This window comes from Homo sapiens, chromosome 6 (genome assembly GCF_000001405.40).
Source record: "Homo sapiens chromosome 6, GRCh38.p14 Primary Assembly".
NCBI classification, from domain to species: Eukaryota; Metazoa; Chordata; class Mammalia; order Primates; family Hominidae; genus Homo; species Homo sapiens.
The window spans coordinates 107,864,047-107,884,095 of NC_000006.12; the positions used below are offsets into that span (position 1 = coordinate 107,864,047).

Below are 20,049 nucleotides of genomic sequence, written 5' to 3' on the forward strand. Positions count from 1 at the left end.
AATGGAAAGATGGAGAATGAGGGTTGTGGAACAGGGTGCAGCACGCTGCAGGGGAAGATCCAAGACCCCAGGGTCCCAGCTCCAGTTCACCAGCAGTGCCAAGTCACTCCTCGTCTCTGGTTCTTTGTTTCTCTATCCCCCCTTCGTATCAATGTCTGACCCTCTGTGGGCACAACAGGGAATGCAATTTGCTCCAAATCAGAGCTGTAGCATGGGTGCCCCATAAATACAAGTATGCAGCACTTACATACATGCTTTCATTCCTTTCCCATGATAATGTTGCCCATGGAGGCAGTAGTCTACCCCATGTAGTCGACCTCCATGGGTAGCATACTCAAGACTAAAGTCAGGGGTTTTGTTTCTATCCCTACGTTCCAGCTCTGCTTCTATTAGGCTGTGGAGGGGATTAGGGAGGAGGGACTTGGTTCAATCAGATGCAAATGCAAGGAAAACTTTAGAAATCATACTGAGTGACATAGAGAAAGGCTTGTTTTTTGTTTTTTTTTTAAGATTTCTCACTCTAAAAAGAACTCCTTTTAACACACTGAAACATTCAAAATTCTACTCAAAACCCAGTTTTAGTATTATCGAACATAAACTGTGTCTACAGTGTGCTATTCCTGAAGTGTCACTCCTGACATTTAGTGCGATACCCTGTCATTAAGTCAGCAGACTTGAAAGATGTGGGGGTTTTCAGTGTATAAAGAAATAATGCTGAGGATCATAACACTACAGTTTCATCCCCCATTCTCAAAAGCACTTTGCTGCTAATCACATTAATCTTTATAATTTCCATGATAATAGACCCAGATCAGTGTTTTGTGAGTAGGGATGGGTAGGTGGGGCAAGATTTTATTGGGATCGTGGGAAAAAGAGTGACTACTGAGTTCTGAACCAGGAGCTGGCTGCAGGAAGAGCAGTGACTCTAAGATACTTGAAAGGGGGTGCCTTGCCATCTTTCAACTTGAGCCACCTCTCCTGGCTCTCTCCCTGTTTAATAGATGCTGTCAGGTCAAGAAGAGGAACAGTAAGCTTTGGGAGGAACTTGGAAAGTGACATAGAGCCTAGCCAATGACTGGAGTCCCAAGAACCTGGCAGAGAATTGGGAAATAAAAAAGCTGCAGAAACGTTGGATGTGATTATAAAGCACACAGACTAATTGGACAAAGATACAGAAGCAGGCTAATGCATATGAATGAGGGAGTTTACCACGATCCCACGAACACTACTGAATGACGATGTCTGCTTGGGAATCGTCAGACCTGGTTGGAAGATAAGGATTTTTTAAGTCTCTCATTGAATTTTTGTCACGTGCCTTACTTTTTTAATCAAAATACCCATCAATGAATTGGATCCCCCCTACTGTGTATCATTTCTAAATGAACTTTTGTAGTTTAAAACACATCTCCCCCCAAAGGACAACTACCTACCAGGAAGACTGTTCAAAATAGTATTTCAAAGATTCCTCAGTTATTTCAACCAAAGGTCTAAGGCCTCCCTAAGTTTGGGCAGCATATTGGAAAAAGAACACTAAAGAAATGGCAACTATTCTACAAGGAACCAGACTTCCTTGGAGGAAAATGTTCAGTTTGTCCAGAAAGGAAGGGTATGGGTTTTGTATTTTGTGGGGAGGGGTGGAAGGTTTGGGGAAGGAGTGCAGAAAGCGATAATCAAAATCTCTTATGGTTACCATGTAGAATAGGTATAGTGTTCCTTCTTGTAGATACCCTGTTTTGCACTGTCACAATGGACTGGATTCAACTTAGAAAATTCTGGATATTTTTTAGTTGGTGCACGGGTAAGTAAATTATCTTCAGTTGCAACATAAAACTATCTTTGACAATAAAACTATCTTTGACAATAAAACATTTCCAAGGAGTTTAAATGTATATTATTCTCAAGGAAACTGCCTAAGTGGTCCTAGTTTTCACAAAATAGACCTCATTCCCTTTGAAAATCAGTGTTCTATAATATCTCTTTGTAAATACAGGTCCTATATGTATTGAATTCCAGCTGTTGAGAGACAGTTTTCCATGAGTCTCTCATGTCTCTGCACACCTGTGATCAAAGGCACACAGGCTTTTGTTCTAGACTATCTTTTCAAGGGTGTCTGTATGGCAAACAGCCTTGGAAGGCAGTGTCTCCCTCCCAGAAAGAGGGTGAGTTTGTTTGCTGTCCAGGATAAGATCAAGACAGGGTTGCTTGCAGGCTTGACAGGGTTAGGTCTCCCAAGCTTGGAGTTCCTCAGCTGTGATATGAACAGCATCTGCCTGGCCACTCCACATCGCCTCCGTGGGAACTTGGAAGACAACAGGAACAGATGGGGAACATGAAGCTCATGCCACCTGCTGTGCCTGTGTCTTTGGAGTCTTCTGTGTTTTGTCGGCATCCATGACACTGGCAGGTTAACTTGTTAGCTTGCATGTAAAAACTCTGGACTCTTAATAGTTGACACCTATCAGGCAAACAGGTTAGATTTTGTAGAGTTAAGGAATTACCATGTCCTATTTGATTGTCCACCTCTCTCAAGCAAACAAATGCAATTTGGAATTCCAGCACAATGAATACATATGGATTGTCTTTTGGAGTTGGTTGCAAAGGGACTTAATGTTTCTAGACAGTAAATTTAATGGGTTAAAGGACACACAGCCAGGTGCGGTGGTTCATGCCTATAGTGCCAATACTTTGGGTGGCCAAGGGTTGAAGTTAGGAGTTCGAGGCCAGCCTGGGCAACATAGCAAGACCCCTGTCTCTAAATAAATAAATACAATGAGCCAGGTTAGTGCCCGTGGTCCCAGCTACTTCGGAGGGGGCTGACATAGGAGAATCACTTGATCCCAGGAGTTGAGGCTGCAGTGAGCTATGATTGCACCACTGTACTCCAGCCTGAGCGATAGAGCACGACCCTGCCTCTAAAAAAATAATAAATAAATAACAAAGGACACATGTAAAGAAGAAAAAGGTTAGGGGGAAACATAAAAGATCAAAAGAGAGGGAGGAAATCCCAGAAGGTGCAGATACAAATAAATTACAAAGCATTTCTTTAATCGTGGCTTTTAGTCTGAAACGAAACACACCATTCTTTGTTAAAGAAAATTACAGCCCTATCGCCCTCTACTGGAACGAGGCTGGAAAATACAGAGAAATAGCTTGAAGTTAACTCTTAATGGAATCTGTTCACACTGAAGTCCATTGCTGCTATTATCCAGATGTTAAAGTGTAAACCTCAGGTGTTTCGGGTAAGGTATGAGGGCTACAGCTCCCTTTGTGTACCCAGGCTGATAGGTTAACGCTAAACAACCTCGTGCTGAACAGAGTGGCCAGTCCTTCCCACACTCACCTTCCATTTGCAGCAGTCACTGATTGCCAGGACCAGCAACAGGCTGTGATTTGCTCAAAGTCCCAGCAAGTCGTCCCCAGCACTGCTGCTCCATACCTGCACCACCTGCACTCCACAGACAACCGTTGTGCAGAACCCTCCCCTTGCCTATCAATCCCACCTCCAGACCTACTCAGCTCTATCTCATAAAAGTCTCACTTTGCTCTTGGCAGCTACAGTAGGGCTGCACACAGTGAATGCCAACCCACCAACTCCAGAGTATATCACTCTGTGATCTCAGGTGGTGAGTGTCAAATGTCACCCTATCAATACCACAAAGCAGTGGTGCCCAAATGTTTTGATCATGGACCCAAATCAGAAAAAAAAAAATTAATGCACCAATAAATGTTTATTTATAAATAATAGAAGTGTACAATTGTACAATATATTATGTACATTATAAAACACACAAAAATAGAAATTTAAAAGGATGAGATTAAATACAAATAATCATCTTAATACTTCCTCAATGGATTGATCATCTCCACGCCCCTGGGATGTATACACCCCCACCTGAAACAATAGCCCTAAAGTATGTCAATGATTGTTATTTGGGTTTTCAGCTCAGGTTACAGAAATATGTACAAGATCGCATCTTTTTAAGTTTTGCAAAATAGCCCTAGCATCAAGTTTAAATGGATGAGAATGCTTGGTGCTAACTTCTTGAGACATATTTGGACTAATCACTACACAGCTGGCAAAATGTTATGGTTCACCAACAGTTATTTCACTTTAAGGCAGTCTAAATAGAGGATTTCATGGAGTTAAATCAGACCGTTTGTGGGAAAATTGTTTCTTAAAAAAAAAAAAACATTTTAAAGGAAAGGATGATGATTTGTTGTTTTTGTTTTTTTTCCAAAAAAACCCAACAGGCTGGGCGCAGTGGCTCATGCCTGTAATGCCAGCACTTTGGGAGGCTGAGGAGGGCTGATCACTTGAGGCCAGGAGTTCGAGACCAGGCTGGACAACGTGGCAAAATCCCATCTCTACTAAAAATTAAAAAATTAGCTGGGTGTGGTGGCATGCACCTGCAGTCCCAGCTACTCAGGAGGCTGAGGCAGAAGAATCGCTTGAAGCTGGGAGGCGGAGGTTGCAGTGAGCTGAGATCGTGCCACTGCACTCCTCCAGCCTGGAGGACAGAGCGAGACTCCGTCTTAAGAAGAAAAAGAGAAAGAGAGAAAAAAAGGCCAGCAAAATAAACAGCTAGCCCCTAAAGAAATAATTCTTCTGCCTACAGTAGATAGACTAAAAAAAAAAAAAGGCATTCCAAATAATAGCCAAGGCAAATGGATTTAAATGGATTGCCACTCATCTACCTGCTCTAACACCAGCGAGTGAGTTCTTAACACTATTTTTTTCATTTTGATAGCTCCAGTATCCAGTCACAGAGCCTGGCACATAGAAACTCAGTAAATATGTGATGAATGACAACCTCTCAAAAATTATGTAAGGTGCTGAATTACATTTGAAATAAGAATTGTGACTACAGAACACTCTAGTATATGGTTTGGATTGGCTGAAGCAAACTGAACAAAACTTGTGGTCAAAAATAACATGCCTAGAGAGCCTCATTATATCTCTCCCTCCCTGTTTCCACATCAGTTGTTTGACATCCACGCCCCCTGCTTCCACCAGAGCCTGAGCTTCCCCATACACAGTGGGACAGTACAGCTGGACAGGCCTGTCCTTTTCCAGCCCTCAGTGAAAGCTGGGAGAAGCAGAGCAGAAGGTATTGTTCTACACAGAGAACTTCACTCAATGTGCTCCCTAACTTAAAAAAAAAATTATGAAAAATGTTTAAAAAATTCAAAAAGGACATGAACATCTAACTCTGAGATTGAGATATTAACACCTCAGGGCCTCAATCAAATATTATAATGCTAAAATACACAACTGCTACACTTTGAATTGTGGTAAGTCTCCTCATGAACAGCTGTATTTTAATAGGTACTTTACCAATTAGAGAAAAATATCACATAATTTAACTGTTTCAATTTCACTTCCTATACACTGTATGATCTATAGGCTCATCAATTGTTGACAAAATGTCAGTTTCTTTATAGGAAGAAAATTGAAACTTTGCTCAAGTTTCCATTAGATTAAATGCAAACTAGGATAGTTTGTTATTCTCATTCCAGAGGAAAAACGAAGGGATGTGGAGTTTAGCGACTTGCTGGAGAGAGAAGAACTATCAACTGAAGGCTCAGTTCTTTCACTACTGCCATATGGAAAGAGGTTACCTAAAGCACTCACTAGAGGAAATTTTATTTTACTTAGTTGGGAAGTACATACACATCACACAAAGAGAAAAGGAAAACAAACTGGTGGAATTTTCTGGTGATGGTAGTTTTTTTTTTTTTTTTTTTTTTAAGCACTGTGGTGTTACTAGGTTATCATCCTCTCCAGAATCTTAAAACCAGAGAAGCCAGCTGTGTGAATGAACTTATAAAGCCTCTTTAAGGCAAAGTAGCCACTAGAAAAAAAAAAACAACTTTTCTTGAAATCTTTCAAGAAAACTAGGAAATATGCATTCTACACATTGTTCTGTCTTGTCTGCTCAGTTTCCTTGCCTTCGTGCCACACCTGTTTTCTCTAATCCCTCCTTTCACTTGACACCAGCTGGCTTACCCCCTGCCACCACACTTAGGTAATCAGTAGCTGCCTCAAGACACTGGTGCTTCACAGCAGAACCTGATTTGAAAATTAAACCCACCCTCCTACTTGTACAATGAAGTAAATGAAAAAAATCCTCAGTGACACTGCCTCCTGCCTGCCAAGAAAGGCTCTCACTAAACTGGTGATTGAGGTTATAGAGAAAGAAACTGCTTTCACCCTTTTATAGGAAATATTACATCTTAAATTTAGAACCAAAAAAACCATTCATGGTTTTGCTAATTTTCACATTTTATTTCCAACTATTGCAGTAACAAGATGCCGGTAGTATTCTGCACTGAAAGTGGCAACCTTTTAAAGTAAACAAGGTTGCAAATTTTAGTATTCCAACAATATTTTGACCTATGGAGATTTTGATAGGAAAGAATTATTACAATCAGTTTTATAATACTACAGACTTATGTTTCCTCCATATCTAGGAATAAAAATATCCACCCTCCCTCAATGATTCATCATGTACACATCTCTACTCTTTACAAGCACTATCCTTCCAGTTGTACTATGAGGGGAAATCCCTCTCACTCCTGGGTTTTTCTACAGTATACAGAAATAGCAGTCACTTTAGCAGTAATGTACAATACTATTCAATCTTTAGTTGAAAAATAAAGAAGTGGATTGCCCTATTTATGTCCTGATAGTAAAAAGACACACACCATTGAAACATAAAACGAGTCAACAAACTTCTATTTTTATTGACAGGAGTCCAAAATGAATACAAAAAAAGCTTCCTTTGCATGTTATACTTACTTTCCTTAAAAAGCTCCTGATAGAGTCAAGTAGACTGAAAACTAAGGATGTAGTTCAGCTTTTAGAGTGAACCTTTTTTAAAAAAGGTTTAATAACATAAGCCACCAGTATCAGAAAACATACAGTCCCACTATCACTTTTAGAGCTAGAACTTATCAAAAGAATTAGATCCTGCATTGATCTGCTAAGATAGAGGTTTAGAAATGGTTTAAGCCATTAAAAGCCATTTTTATAATCTGTCTGATAACTCTGGGCAATTAAGAAAAGGAAAATTCCAAAACGTAGCCCTCTATATCATGTGGAATGTGAGAGAATGCCAACTTATGACCAAGATAAGTAAAAATAAAAGTTTAAATCTATGAGTGGAGCTGTTGTATCACTGCAAAATGTCAACAACAGAGCTTATCAAGAGATTATCAACTTGAGCGATGTTACTTAAACTTGAGCGATGTTACTTAAAACATATTTGTGGTGTTTGCTAAAACTAAAGCTGAACAAAGAAAAGTCGCTCATTTACAGACTGTGTTTCCTGCATCTTTACTTTTACTGGGACCATAGACTGATCAGATAATACATAGCCCACACTTCTGGACAGTTATAATAACAAAGGATTTATTATCATTTGCAGATGAAATAAATGTACCATCCCCTACTTGAAAGGTTTCAATAAGCCTTAACATTTTTCAGGTTGTACCAAGGCACCGCCACTGCCTAGTTATATTATGCACCCATTTCAAGAGTAAAAAAACTACACCTCCCTCAACATCAGTTCTGTACTGTTTCTGGTTTATGATACACTTCCAAAACAGCAAAAAATTGCAAATATGTGCAAACACTGTGGTCCATTCAGAGTACTGCTTAGTCATCATCTTCTTCTTCCTCCTCTTCTTCCTCAAAGCTATCTTCAAAGCCCTCACTGTCCTCCTGGTCTTCATCCCCCTCTATTGCTGTATCCCACTGTGGGTGATTTTCTGGCACAGGCTTAGCCTCATGAACTTCCAACTAGAAAGAAGAATTAAATGTAGACATCAGAAATTTGGGGAGAAATAATGGAAGAAATCTTGGTAAACAAAAGGTTTTCTTTGACCACAGCAATTACAAAGAAATAGTTTTTTATGGACACAATTCTAAATTCAACTCATTCATTTAGAACAGACACTTCATCCCAGAAATAAAACAAGTAAATTTAACAATATGTAAATGTAGTTAAATTTCTAATACAGTTTGATATTTTGATTCTGTATGTTATACTATTTATGAATGTATTTCTATGGCATAAAATAATTGTGATTCTTGAGCAAGAACACTGAGTCATATCTTAACAGAAGCCTTCTGCTTTAAGGAAGAAAAACCCGAGACATTTTGCAGTCTCTAGACTTGTGATGTAAAATTCTACAGTTAATAAAAGAAATATGGAACCCTCATGGAACAAAAAAGAGGTTCGCATTTACTGGCTACTTTTACCCTTTATAATGCAATAATACTTTTAGCACCATCTCTCTAATACAATAGGACACCTTTTATAAAAAGCTCAAGTGAATTGGTAAACAAAGATCAGAGTGTGCTGCAAATGATACTTACAGAAGTGTATGCTCTAAGATGACAAAAATAAATTAGTTTCAGAAATTAATATACACTCCAAATAGAATCTGTGGTTTAAAAAAAAAAAGTGCCTTTCTAAAGAAAAAAGAACCCATTTGCTGAGGCCTTATAAAGTTACAGCACATTAAAATGCATCCCTAAAGTAATTTATATTCAATGTTCTAAACTGTTACACTCCTTAAAAACCTAAAACCTTAAGTTTATTATTGAAAGAGTAGTCCATCAAGTATATCATATATAAAGCATGAGATGACTTCTTTTTCCTTCCATAACTCTACATTTCAAAACTAGAAATGTTTTCCTAGTATATTAAACATTTATACAGAAAACTCTTATTTATTGAAGAGTCACTATTCTTACCTTCAATGGTTTAATCTGATCCAAACCCATATAGGAGTCTGATCTCAGAAACACAGTATACTGATAATTTCCAGGCTTGCCTGGTGCAGGAAACTTCAGCTCTACCTAGAAGATAAAATCAGCACTTAAAAATCTGTATTATGGGGAGGAAACAGCTCACTCCCTAAAATTCCTAGACCACAGTATTTAACAGCCAGGTTTTTTCTGCAGATGATACAGAAAGTCCTAATAAATGTTACTAAAGTCCTTATAAACAATAATAAAAAAAAGCGAAATGTATGTTACATATTATAAATACCTCCCAAAGAGGAAATCAAATTATGCAGAACTGATGAGGTTAATTTGTCTCTCCACAATTCAAGAAAGCAGTACTTAAAGCAACCAAATTCTATGCTATCATCTTGAAGAAATTAAGCAGGTATAAAAGCATAAGTAAATGAAATGTTGGAATAAAACAACAGACTTCACTAGATAGGAGATACTTCCTGCCAAATTTTCTTATTTCTAGAATAAACGCCCAATGCCAAAGGTCAAGAAGATATTTTATTTATCATCAAATCATAAACTTCAAATACAAATAGTAACAAACTCTTAAAAAGTTTCTATTCCACTTGGACAAAAGAACAATTTTTTAAAAATGACATTTGTATTCTCTGGTGATCTGCTCTAGTGATCTGCTCCAATCTCCAAAATCCAGATTTTACAGTCAAGATTAAATATTAAAATATGCCAGTTTTAAAAAAACTAGAAAAAATCATGAAGGAATCTTTTTTTCTTAAATTAATCTCAGTTTGGCCTAACTATAACACAAACCTAGAAACTATTAAAAAAAAATTCTTTAAATCATACTACAAAAAATAAGTAAGAAAATGGATAAACAAATAGGTATTTATATTTCTATCTGGTAGAAACAACCAGAATAGTACAACAAACTGGGGAGAAATACTTGCAACACATATCACAAAGGGCTGATTTCTTAACATTAAAAAAAGATCCCAAAACAACTTTTTAAGACTCAACAAAAGTGAACAATGGTCACAAACAGACACATTAAAAAGACAACTCAAACACACTGAAGGTTAAGTTTCACTCTTCAGAGAAATAAAAACTACACTGAATAGAATGAGCAGAGTAAAAATTGATTCAGAAAAGAATCATCAACATATGTTTAAAACGATTGGGTAAAACACTGTTGGAGAATAGGACATTCACACAGGGCCTAAATATCACCCCACAGATTAGAGGGGGAGAAAAATACCTTTACAATAGAGAAAAACCATAACTAAATGAGCAACCTTAATTAATATCACCAACATAGGGCAAAGTCATATACTGTACTTCTGACCTAAGAACTACATCACCAACATAGTTTGCTTGCCAAAAACACAAAGATGAATAATGAGTAACCAACGAGACAAATTCGTATTAAATGATATTCTACAAAACACCTTGCCTGGATTCTTGAAAAATGTCAGCGGCATGCAAAGATTAAAAAAGAACAAGGAAGCCGGGCACGGTGGCTCACGCCTGTAATCCCAGCACTTTGGGAGGCCAAGGCGGGCGGATCACAAGGTCAGGAGATTGAGACCATCATGGCTAACACAGTGAAACCCCGTCTCTACTAAAAAAATATAAAAAATTAGCTGGGTGCAGTGGCGGGCGTCTGTAATCCCAGCTACTCAGGAGGCTGAGGCAGGAGAATGGCGTGAACCCGGGAGGCGGAGCTTGCAGTGAGCCGAGATCATGCCACTGCACTCCAGCCTGGGCGACACAGTGAGACTCTGTCTCAAAAAAAAAAAAAAAAAAAAGAACAAGAACAAGAAAGTATTCAACACTAAAGAGGCATGACAACCAAATACAATGTAAAAATCTCTTTTTTTCTTTCTTTCGAGACATGTCACTCTGTTGCCCAGGCTGAAGTACAGGGGCATGATCATGGCTCATTGCAGCTTCAACCTCATGGGCTCAAGTGATCCTCCTGCCTCAGCCTCCTGAGTTAGGCTGGGACTACAGGCACAAGTCACCACACCCAGCTACAATGTGTGATCCTTGATTAGATCCTGAGTTTAAAAATAAAACCAAAAACTGTAACAGACATTAGTGGAATCGTTGAGGAAATCTGAATACAGACTGCGTATTAGATAATTATGCCACATCAATGTTAAATTTCCTGAGTATAATCATTGTAGTAGGCCTATGGAGAAGGTCCTGGATTTTGTTTTTGTTTTTGTTTTTTTTAAGAGACAGGGTCTCACCACGTTGCCCAGACTGCTGCTGAATTCCTGGGCTCAACTGATCTGCCCGCCTTGGCCTCCCAAAATGCTGGAATTACAGGTGTAAGCCACTGCACCCAGCCCAAGGCCCTGGTTCTTAAGGGATACATGTCAAGTAGTTAGGGGTGTCATGTCATGATGTCTACAAGTACCTCAAATGGTTCAGGGGAAAATACACACGCGTGCATGTTTTGTACATACATATACAGTGAAAGATAAAACAAGTAACAGCTAAATGTAAACAACTGGTGAATACGGGTGGGGATCTAGGGAGGTTTCATGATACCATGCTTGTTAACTTTTCAATAGGTTTTAAAACTTAAAAGATCAGAGAGGCCAGGCACAGTGGCTCATGCCTGTAATCCCGGCACTTTGGGAGGCCAAAGCAGGCGGATCTCTTGAGCTCAGGAGTTTGAGACCAGCCTAGGCAACATGGGTAAACCCTGTCTCTACAAAAAATACAAAAATTAGCCGGGCGTGGCTAATTTTTACGGGGTGCACGTATGTAGTCCCAGCTATTTGGGAGGCTGAGGTGGGAGAGCCCGGGAGGCGGAGGTTGCAGTGAGCCGATATTGTACCACTGCACTCCAGCCTGGGTGACACAGCCAGACCCTGTCTCAAAAAAAAGATCAGAGGAAAAAATAACATGAAGATCTAAGATGCTATTTTTCACCTTTCCAACTAGCAATGATATTCAAAATGTCTGACATGCTGAGAGGTATTAGGCATATTTAGACATTCATTCTTTCTATAGAGAAATAAATATCTAGCAATATAGACCAAAATTACAAACATACAGAGCCTCCAGCCCATCAATTCGACCTCTATAAATTTATTATTAACCTATTTCATGCATTTACCACTTGATTATAAAGGGTTAAAAAATATGTACTAAAAATCAACATCATAGGGCTATCTTGAAAAGCTTTTGTCCACCAAGTACAGGCAGACAGAACCTTCTTCCTAGAAAAAAAACACACACACAAAAAAAACATGAAAAACAACAACAAAAATGCAGTTCCCAAGGGTAAATATGTTCATCACAATGCTGCTTTACTGATGTCATTAACAGTGAATACCACGTAATCAAAAATTCCACTCAAGAAATCCACATCATCAGTTCTTAGATTTTTCAAGACAAAAGATCTAATACTCAACACTAATCCAATAAGAACAAAAATTCTATCACTAAATTCTGGAGAGGAGGAGGAAAGGTGTATGTTCTTAGACACTAACAGTGAAAACTCCCAAAACAAGCTGAGAACAAATTTTTAAAACATTGACTAAGTTGCCTACCTTTAACAATTATTTATAAATTTCCAATGAGCTCACCCCAAAATAGAGAACAGTTACAAAATGCAGGCAACGAATAGAATACAATATGCTAAATATGATAAACTTTTTAAAAAAAAGATATATGAAGCAGCATGATGGTGACAGCTGTGCCTTGTTAAACACTGAAATCATGTTGCTTGATAGTTACCTCCTCTGTATCTTTCAGCGTACACACATGATATGGCATGGATATTAATGTCTGCTCCTTCCTATCTGCAATGTAAAGCCACCACCATTCTTGTTTTTCCTGGAAACAAAAAAAAAAAAAAAAAAAGAAGAGGGGTATAAATAATCAGAAAGAACTAGAAAGAATATAATTTTGGCCTCTCTTATCTTAGAGATCCTCTGCACTGACAAACTGCTTGGTACAAAATAGGTATTCAAATGAATATTTACTGAAAGAATAAGCTGTTCTTAACATTTGTAGATCCATTGCCTAAAAGCATTTTGTATGCAATTTTGGGGATTTCAATAGCTCCTTAAAACCTATTGATTGGCCTTCATATTAAAAACCCTGACTAACCTTAAGTAACAAGCATTATTCTAAATATATACAACTATTACAATAGCATGTAGCAAATAATCTTAGTACTCTTACCTAGTAATAAGCAAAAGCCACAAAGTTGGAGTGGAAGGAACATATATATATGTGTGTGTATATATATATATATACACATATATACATATACATATATGTGTGTGTGTATATATATATTTTAGAAGGCCAAGAAGTCTGAAAGCACGAAACCTCCGTGCATTCAGCAACAACTGCTCTATTACAGCACACCTCAGTTCACTATTTAGTCACCTGCTTATTAACACCTGTTTTAAGAGTTGGGTAGGGAAGTATCTTTCTAAAACAGTTTAAAGAAAAATGTTTTACAGCTTAAAACAAAATAAACTCTAGGATGTTCTAAATATTTATTTAACCAAAATAGTACTAGACTATTCTAAACTCTCAATTGTCCGAAATGGTTAAAAAATCATCTTACTGAAAGTTTCTTTGAGAAAACGTGGGTTTTTTTGGTTTTGTTTTTTGTTGAGACAGGGTCTCACTCTGTCACCCAGGCTGGAGTGCAGTGGCACCATCTCAGCTCACCTCACTGCAACCTCTGCCTCTGGGGCTCAAGTGATCCTCCCACCTCAGCTTCCCAAGTAGCTGAGACTACAGGCATGCACCACGTCTGGCTAATTTTTGCATTTTTTGTAGAAACAAGATTTCATTTATGTTGCCCTGGCTGGTCTTGAACTCCTGGGCTCAAGCGATCCTCCCATTTAGGCCTCCCAAAGTGCTAGGATTACAGGCATGAGTCACCACGCCTGGCCCATATTTATGTTTTTAAACTAAAATTGCTGCTAAAATTTTAACTATAAAAATAGATTAAAATTTGGTTTATCTTTCAAACGCTACTAAGCACAACTAAAAACTCTTCTGTTTAAATACCTTCGGAGATAAAGCACTGCAACATTAAAAAGTCTAATAAATAAATGACAAGTACACGGTGACATGAGTGGCACTTAACAAGAAAATTAAATTCTGCTTAAACCGAGGGTTAGGACTACCACTGTAGGCATATTTGTATACATAACATATGTGTGTAAATACATAACAGCCTCAAAGTGGAATAACACCTCTGTTGCGGCCACTCAAATCTGCCCTTGCAGCATGAAAAAAATAAGTGTGGCTGTGTTCTAATAAAACTTTATTTACAATAAAGCCTCATTTACAAAAACAGGAAGGCAGCCAGATCTGGCCTGCAGACTGCAGTTTGACAATATCTGTTTTAAAGACACAGAAACCTGGGTTATTTCACTTCCCTAAAATCTCATTTTCTTCTCAACAATCAGTGCCTACTTCTGGCCATGTTGTAAAGATGATCTGAGAGAATACAAATAAAAATATATGTTACAAAGCCTAGCACATGCAGTATAATAGGTGGCAGTTATGATTATTAGTGACATGAGGTACAATATCACCTCTTTTTTAAGTCATTTTGACATTTGTCAGAAACATCATTACAACAAGTAGGGAATGTAAGCAGCACAGGATTATGTTAAAGATTATGCACTTCTTTACCTCCCCACTTAGAGAATGCCTTTCCCTCCAACCTCTCAGCCTATTTAATTACAATGAGATTCACTCAAGAATATTTATTAGGGCCAGCCATGGTGGCTCACACCTGTAATCCCAGCACTTTGGGAGGCCAAGGCGGGTGGATCACTTGAAGTCGGGAGTTTAAGACCAGCCTGACCAACATGGAGAAACCCTGTCTCTACTAAAAATACAACATCAGCTGGGTGTGTTGGCACATGCCTGCAATCCCAGCTACTCGAGAGGCTGAGGTGGGAGAATCACTTGCACCCAGGAGGTGGAGGTTGCAGTGAGCCAAGATTGCGCCACTGCAGTCCAGCCTGGGCAACAAGAGCAAAATTCCAGCTCAAAAAAAAAAAAGAATATTTATTAAGAAGCCAGTGAATATCAATCAACAGCACTACACCTGTGCCTAGTGATGCACATGTTAAAAGTGAAACAGATTTCTATGAGTTACCTGTATTTTAGACAAAATTGTTTTTCTTTTGTGAGATTCCTAACCATTCTTAACGCATTAAATACAATAGACGAATTTCACTAACATGTAAGTCAAATATTACTAAGTGGGTAGTTTGGTAGTTAGGTTACTTAGGTAAGAAACACGGAAATGTAGACAGGTAGAGAGGTTAGAAAGATCCTAAATAAATTTTGTTTGTTCATTTGTTTTGTTTTGTTTGAGACAGTCTCACTCTGTCACCAAGGCTGGAATGCAATGGCACAATCTTGGCTCACTGCAACCTCCGCCTCCCAGGTTCAAGCAATTCTCCTGCCTCAGCCTCCCAAGTAGCTGGGATTATAGGCACCCGCCACCACGCCCGGCTAATGTTTTTATTTTTGAGACAGAGTTTCACTCTTGTTGCCCAGGCTGGAGTGCAATGGCACAATCTCAGCTTACCGCAACCTCCGCCTCCTGGGTTCAAGCAATTCTCCTGCCTCAGCCTCCTGAGTGGTGGGATTACAGGCATGTGACACCATGCCCAGCCAATTTTGTATTTTTAGTAGAGACGGGGTTTTGCCATGTTGGCCAGGCTGGTCTCAAACTCCTGACCTCAGGTGATCCACCCACCTCGTCCCCACAAAGTGCTGGGATTACAGGCATGAGCCACTGCACTCGGCCCTAAATACATTTTATCTGATAAATAATGATCTGAAATGTTTACCATGCAGATGCAGATTAAATTTGAAAAAGGCATTTTGCTGATAAAATGATTTTTATCTTTTTTTTTTTTTTTTTTGAGACAGGGTCTCACTGTGTCATCCAAGCTGGAGTTCAGTGGCACAATCACAGTTCAATGCAGCCTCAATCTCCTGGGCTCAAGTGATCCTCCAACCTCAGCTTCCCAAGTAGCCTAGGACCACAGGCATGAGCCACAGCACTTGGCCACTAATAAAATGTTCTGAGGGAGTGAATGAATGTTTCTCTTATTAACTAAGCATGGTCTAAAATGAAACTGTCTGTTACATGGGTACACACTAGGCAGCTTTGAGCACCCCATGGCACTTTTTATACCAATCAATGAATGGAATTTACTTGCTTCATTTCAGGATGCTTGGTGTTGGCAGGCTACCTCTGCAATGGGCACAATGCCCCTAACAGATGGACTAAAGCTCAGGACATGCCAGAAGATCAGCACGTGCATTAAGATGGAATCCTGGGCAGACTTCTCTCCAAGTCAAAACAACAGTCTGTGCAGAGCCACTCATTTATTACTAAGAGAGCCAAATTATTTACGAATTTGCCTTAAGCAGTCCCCAGAAACTCTAGATTGACATCCTCGAGCAGAAAGCAGATTTATACATGAAATCACCTGCCAAACACAAGTGGTGAGCAGAAGGTTCTGTGGCAAAGCTGTGAGGCAGTCTGTGGAACAGTTTCCCGAACTGGGGGAACCAGTTCTTGACCTCTACTCCAGACAGAATCATACTCTAATGCAAAATGTCAAGGGAATCCCAAGGTAATTTGAAAGATGAACAACACAGGCTATCAAGGAGATCGAAAGTTGAGCAGGCTGCAATTACAAAGTAAACAAGGACAAGGCAACAAATAGCACTATAATGACCTGTCCTGAGCCCGGGGCTCAGTTATGATCAAGCTCTTATGGAACTTTATTTATTAGAGCCAAGAACACAGTTGGTCCCACAGCCATGGGCTCACACATTTCCATGGACTGGGACAACAATGACCAGGGTCAGAGCAATTCTAATGGTTCCATGTCGCCAGCAGGATCCTCAGAGAGAAAATTTAAGAATTTTTTCATCCGATTTAAAACTTGGCAGAGGTGAGAGATTCATAATAGTTAAGTATTCAAAGGCAAAATATGCATTTGTCTGATGAAGACTGCCTAATCTGCTAATGAGAAATCACCATTACACATAACACTCAGTAATCAGGGCACAGAAAAGACAGAAGCAAAGAAAACCACAGAAATACTTAAGAAGCTAACAATCTCTTTTATAAGCAACACGTTCACTAAGTATAATACCTATTGTAATATTCCCTTTTAAAAATATGGCCTCTCAGGATAGACCACATTTAGCACATATGAACTAATACACACGACAGAGGGCTAAAAGTCAACTGACAAATCCCTGAGGAGAAAGTGAATGGAATAAGGAACACAGTAGCCTGTATATAACTCACCTCAGGAAAGTAAAGGCTATACACAGGATGTGTTATTTTTGATTTGGTTTCCAATAGAGCTCTCTCTTTTCGCTGTATGCTTTGTTGTAATTCTTGCCACTCCTAGTAAACAAAAAAATTAAAATATTTAAAATCTAGTATGTGTTTTATCACTTTAAGGATTTCCAGGTATTATTCCTGACAATGCTAATTAACTACTTAGGATTAGAACAAGTTCAGTCTCACAAATCTGATCATCTCCCTGCTCATCCTTACAATGCCTTTTTAAATATATTAAATCTAACCACTGTAGTATCAACTACATAGCCGTTCATTATCTGACCCTAGCCTGCCTCTCTTTGGTCTCCTGTCACTGCCTCCCTCCTTGTGCTTTTTATTCTAGTCATTTCAAACTACCTACACTTCTCTGAACTTACCAAACTATTTCACTCCTCCTAAACCCTGTTTGGACTTTGATTTCTCCCTTTCTCTGCCTACTCATTATTATTTAGGACCAACTAAAGCCCAAAGTATGAACTCCTGAGTAAAGCCTCCCATAAATTTCCTTCTACCTCAGGACTGAACTGATCACTCCCTCCTTATGTACCTTGCATAAGATGTGTGTAATTTCATATGTACTATAGTATTTATTTACAAATCTGCCTGCCCCACTAGCCTACATTATCATTCAAGACCTGAAGCTGTTTCACATTTGGCTTTGTATTATCTTTAATCTTAGACAGCCTTGGGATGTGACAGGTAATAAATAATGATTTGTTGATTTAATGAATGTATTTTTGGTCATATGAAGAAATTAGTCTGTCAAAACCCTAAGAGTCACTGCTACTTACCCTAATATACTTAGGAATATGTCAATTCTTTCTCAAAGTCAGGCCAGGGATATAATGTATTTGACAGATTTTAGTTTCCTGGCAATCAATTTAATTCTCCAAGTACAAAAACAGCCAAGGCCCTGCAAATGCTAACAATAGACATCTTTGTTTTCTACCATTCCCAAGGACAAGTGTGTTATTAACCCCTTATACTTTTATCCTTTGCCCTTTACCTCTTCCTCTTTTTTTGGCCTCTCCTTTTGCCTCTGAGGCTATTCAGGCAATCCCTTTTTATCTCCCAAACTACAGTGTTACTTTTAGATCAATGGCCACTCAAAAAGAACAACGCTAACAAACCTAAAAGAAATGGCCGAGCAGTTTATTTGCAGTGAGCCTCTAAGGACCCCATTCTTCTCTATAATTCTCCCATAAATTATGTGCAACTTAATGCCATGAGATTTTTCTCCTATACGCTATACTTTTACACCATATTAATAAATTCTGTAAAGACTTCCCCTGTCCTTAATATATCTTATATACACCCATGAAACAAGGTGGTATTCTATAAATGTTAGCTTTTCCCTTAACCAACCTCTTGACATCAGGGTCCACAGTACTGTTTCTCTACAGTAAACATGAACTGGAGCTTGTGACACAGCCTTCCAAGTAAGCACTATGCATTTCACAAACACCTTTCCTTACTCATATTCCCAGAGATATCCCCAACACTGAAAATCCCCTTATGAGACCAACTGACCTAACCTCAAACCCAGGTCCTACTCTACCTAACAATTTAATATTTAAGAAAACGAGGATTTCCAATCCTTGTTAGAAATCATTTTTCTGTATAACCTTGACTACCATTCCTTAAAAACGTTCTTCAAAGTAATAAAATTATAAAATATACAGATATTATTTAAAGAAAGCAAGCGAGCAAGCAAACAAATGAACAACAACAACAAAACCCAAAGCTATCATCAGAGATATAATTCCAATTATTTAAATTATTTAAACCTATAAGGCTTACTGCTTCATCATCTTTGTTTTGTTTTTCATCTTGCTCTCTATCAGAGTCTCTGTCACTACCATCATCTTTCTCACTTTGGGAATCTCTATTGGTTTCTTCTTCTTCAGAATCACTGCCCTTATCTGAAACTTCTTCTTCATCTTCCTTTACTGCAGCTTCCTAAAAGGGAAAGGCAAACACAAAGATTCTGCATATCTCAATGAGAACATATCAATCTGAATCCCTGAAGTTAACTTATTGTCAATTTAACTAAACTGACTCGATGACAATTTCACTATTCATATACAATTTTTTAAAATTATAAACATTCCTACTTATAAAGATGTGGGAGTCAGACTAAAGAGTTTAATATCTGGCTAGTCTGTCTATTGTTAGTTATTTTATTCATTCTTCATAATTTGTCAAATAAAAGTATTTCTATTTGCAAAGCCCAATAACACAAAGGCTAAGATGGTTCTGCTTTCAAAAACATCAATCATATTTTATTTAAGGAAACAGGTAGTTTATAGAAAAGTATAATTTTGGGGCCAGTCACAGCGACTCATGCATGTAATCTTAGCACTTTGGAAGGCAGAGGCAGGAAGACTGCTTGAGGCCAGGAGTTCAAACCAGCATGGGCAACACAGCAAGACCTGATCCCTTAAAAAAAAAAAATTATATATATATATATATCACTAGGCATGGTGGTACACGTCTGTAGTCCCAGCTAGTTGGGAGGTTGAGGTGGGAGAATCATTTGAGCCCAGGAGTTTAAGGCTGCAGTAAGGCATGACCATGCCACAGCACTTCAGTCTGGGTGACAGAGCAAGACCCTATCTCAAAAAAAAAAAGAAATAAAGAAAAGTACTCCTTTGGAAGTACAGAATCACTTTCTTTAACTAACAAGGTATGATGCAGTAAGTAAAGGCAATATCTTCAGCAAAATACTAGCTCACTTTAAGAATCAAGAACAGCAAATTAAATGCAAAGAAAGCAGAAACAGGCGGGACGCAGTGGCTCATGCTATAATCCCAGCACTCTGGGAGGCCGAGGCAGGTGGATAATTTAAGGTCAGGAGTTTGAGACCAGCCTGACCAACATGGTGAAACCCCGTCCCTACTAAAAATAC

General features: G+C 38.6%; 1 protein-coding gene across 3 annotated transcripts in view, besides 1 other annotated feature; it reads right to left on the bottom strand.

Moving 5' to 3' along the window:
• SEC63 (SEC63 protein translocation regulator) overlaps positions 3,710–20,049 on the bottom strand; it is a 90,453-nt gene continuing 74,113 nt past the window's right edge. For all 3 annotated transcript variants that reach the window (XM_047418131.1, NM_007214.5, XM_047418130.1), the window contains 5 exons: positions 18,942–19,100; positions 17,103–17,204; positions 12,518–12,616; positions 8,762–8,866; positions 3,710–7,801 (listed from right to left, as the gene is read on the bottom strand). In XM_047418131.1, the coding sequence (XP_047274087.1) occupies positions 7,658–7,801; positions 8,762–8,866; positions 12,518–12,616; positions 17,103–17,204; positions 18,942–19,100 (609 nt within the window). In that variant the 3' untranslated portion in view covers positions 3,710–7,657. The remainder of the gene's footprint in view (positions 7,802–8,761; positions 8,867–12,517; positions 12,617–17,102; positions 17,205–18,941; positions 19,101–20,049) is intronic.
• Positions 13,885–14,085: a silencer, noted in NCBI's record as "peak6008 fragment used in MPRA reporter construct". NCBI's record gives its function as "represses an SCP1 promoter by STARR-seq MPRAs in K562 erythroleukemia cells {active_cell/tissue: K562}" and the evidence as "EXISTENCE:reporter gene assay evidence [ECO:0000049][PMID:32103011]".